At 44.2% G+C, this 3,152-nt stretch overlaps 1 annotated feature.

Annotated features, from left to right (window-relative positions):
• Positions 1,566-2,765: an enhancer, noted in NCBI's record as "BRD4-independent group 4 enhancer chr9:89406557-89407756 (GRCh37/hg19 assembly coordinates)". NCBI's record gives its function as "activates an origin of replication core promoter dependent on BRD2, P300/CBP, MED14 and CDK7 cofactors, and independent of BRD4, by STARR-seq in HCT116 cells {active_cell/tissue: HCT116}" and the evidence as "EXISTENCE:reporter gene assay evidence [ECO:0000049][PMID:35650434]".

Raw genomic sequence — 3,152 nt, forward strand, 5'->3', positions numbered from 1 at the left:
ATTTTTTTCTGTGTCTATATCTATGTCTGAACATGCCCCACTCAGAAAGGAGTTCACTTGGAATGAGATAAAATACAGGAATCTAAGCCTTTGAAAGGTTCATCGTCTGGCAAGGCCATTTCTTAGCACTTCTCTCAAAGCTGCCTGGGTGGAAGGCAGACTCCCCTCTCGGTTGCAGAAACAAGTGGCTTTGAAGGCAGCTGCGTGTGAATTATACAACTGGATAATTAGAACCATAGGGAAAACTTTGATTCTTTATTTGTGAAGTTCCTATAGGGCATGATATTATGCAAAACTTGTCTTAAAGATTGAATGCAAATCCACAGGGAGGATCCCTTTCTTTCTGCAAAAAAGAAAATGTGCAGAAATCAAGAACCATGTGAGGGTGAAATGGAAAACTTTTCAATGAAGAAGGAATCATTGCTGGGTGAGAGCGCTTTGGGTAAGAATTTGCCAGAGAGAAGGAGAATGATTCGGGGGGCTAATGAGGGACACTAAAATGTAATTCTTGAAAAATAATCATTACTTAGGCAAGCCTTTAGTTTTGAACCCACTTCAGTCACTAGCTCACGGGCAGCAGGATGAGCCACATGCCTCAACAGAGTTCACGTTTCCTGAGAGTGGAGGGGAAAGCTGATCAATGGAACTTGTTGTTATTGCAATTCCTCCTTCCCATCCCTGTCACCATACACTTGTGCTGTGTAATTTTTATAACACAGTCTCACGAAAGGGATGAAAACACATTCATACTAAAGTATAAATGACTAATAAAATGTCTATCCCTTGGCATAGCTCATATTAGGAACAGAGATTAAAGCCCGAGCTGAATCCAATTCAGTACTGGACTAGAGAATTTACTATGCACAAGATTTGAGCTAGGGTTTATGGAGGAATGCTAAGATATACAAATTGAGGTTCCCATTTCCTAGGATTCCACGGGGTGGTAATGGGTGACGGTAGTAGTAAGTATAAATTACTCCATCCAGATAGAATATGTAAAGTTGGAACGAAGTGCAGTGAGCAATCTGAGGGGCAAATTAATTCTAACTGGGAGGATGGCTACTTTGCAAGTTTAGCCAGGAGAAAGTGCCCAGCTAGTTAGGTGAGGGATTGAAACAACCCCTAGGGGGATCCTGTGCCTGACTGTGGGGTCTGGGGTGAAACAGATAAACAGGTAAACAAGTCTGTCTTACTTTCTGGATCCCTTCTCATTGCCCACAGAGTGTGAATACATTTTCTTAGAGATTTCTTTCCCTTCACTTAAGAGAATGGTTGAAGGACAGAGTCGCAGTGAGTTGAGGGGTATGGGATGGGAAGAAGCTGAACTGTGGTGGCAAGCATGCCCTGGTTGTGCTCAGATAGTAACAATTCTCTTGCTTCTTCCCAAGTGGAACTGGGGGTCGATGTACACCAGAGTCAGATTGTTAGGTGGCTGAGGAGCAAAGGACAGCCTCCAGCTCAGGCTGCACATCAGAATCCCCAGGTGAGCTTCTTGATCTGCCAGTGGCCAAGCCCTGTCCCAGGTCAATGAAATCGAAAAGCTCTCCAGGTGACCCTAATATTCAGCAGTGCACAGTGGTCCTCAAAGTGTGGCCCTCCATCAACAGCATTGGCATCACCTGAAACTTGTTAGCAGTGTCAATGATCAGCCCCCCTCCAGACCTACTGACTCAGAAGACCCAGTCATGGGGGCCATGCACATGGGGGCCACCCTTACACAGGGGCTCTCATCAAGGGATGGAGACCATCAATCTGTGTTTTAACAAGCCCTCCCAACCTCCAGAGGTTTCCTGCCTGCCAAAGTTGGTGAACCTCTGGTATGATGTAAAGACTTCCCAGTGGGGATGCAGAAGACCTGAGTTCAAATCCCTGATTCTGACTCCTTGGCAAGTCAGTTAATATCTGTAAGCTCCCAGTAAAAAGGGCCTTTATTTATTAATCAAGCTTTCCTTGAGTGCCTGTCAGGTCATTGGTCTATGAAGATGAGTTTAACATAATTCCTGCCTTCAAGGATCACATACCTCCTTCTTGGAACCCATCTATATGGTTTTCAACTGTGGTGTTTAAAAAGTACACCTTTCCACTTGTGCCACGATGCAGAATTTTAGCTCTGATTGCTAATAAAAACAAGATTGGGCTGAAATGATCCAAGATACAATCGAGGGTCCCAGGGTCATCTTCTCTAGCCCTGTCTCAGGGTGACTCAGAGGTGAATCATAATTTGTGATGACTCACATTTACGTGGCTCTGCAGAGAAAAGTAGAGCAGGTGAGCTTTATAGTTCCTTATTTACAGTCATTCCATGACTGAGGCAGACATGGAATGACCCATCTTTTCACTACTCTAGAGCCATCTAGAGTCTCTAGAGTTGTCTAGAATTATTTGTCCTTGGCTTTTCAAGGTTGAATTACATCTTTCTATCAAGGAGGAACTAAGGGTTGCCCTGTAGGATATGATCCTGGTCTTCATTCTTCTTCAGTTGTTATGTCTAGGAGCATGTCATGGGTTGAATTGTGTCTACTCCAGAAATATATGTTGAAGTCCTAACCCCTAGTTCCAGTGAGTGTGACCTCATTTAAAAATAGGGTCTTTGCAGATACAGCTGGGTTCAGATGAGGTCATTGGGATGGGTCTTAACCTACAGTGACTGATGTCCTTAGAAGAAGAGAAAACTTGGACACAGAGACACACAGAGAGGGAAGGCCATATAGAGACAAATGGGGTGAAGGCGGCCATGTGACAACAGAGGTGGAGAGTGAAGTTATGCTGCCAGGAGCCAAAGAAAGTCCAGGGCTGGAAGAGGCAAGGAAGGATACTCTCCTAGAGGCTTTGGAAGGAGCATGGTTTTGCTGACACCTTGGTTTCAGACTTCTGGCCTCTAGAACTGTAATATAATGAATTTCTCTTGTTTTAAGCCACACAGTTTGTGTTATCTTGTTAAGGGAGCCCTAGGAAACCACCACAAGTTGCCTGTTAGCTATTGTTCAGAAGTCTTATGGTGGAACTCGGTTGGGAATACAATACATGGCTGGACAATATATTGAGGCCTTCCGTAAACATCACTGACCTCTAGCAACTACTTTAGCTAATGCTATTCTTTGAGTATTGGAAAACACTCTCATGACATAATTGTCAGAAGCCCCTGTGCCCCA

This window comes from Homo sapiens, chromosome 9 (genome assembly GCF_000001405.40).
Source record: "Homo sapiens chromosome 9, GRCh38.p14 Primary Assembly".
NCBI lineage: Eukaryota > Metazoa > Chordata > Mammalia > Primates > Hominidae > Homo > Homo sapiens.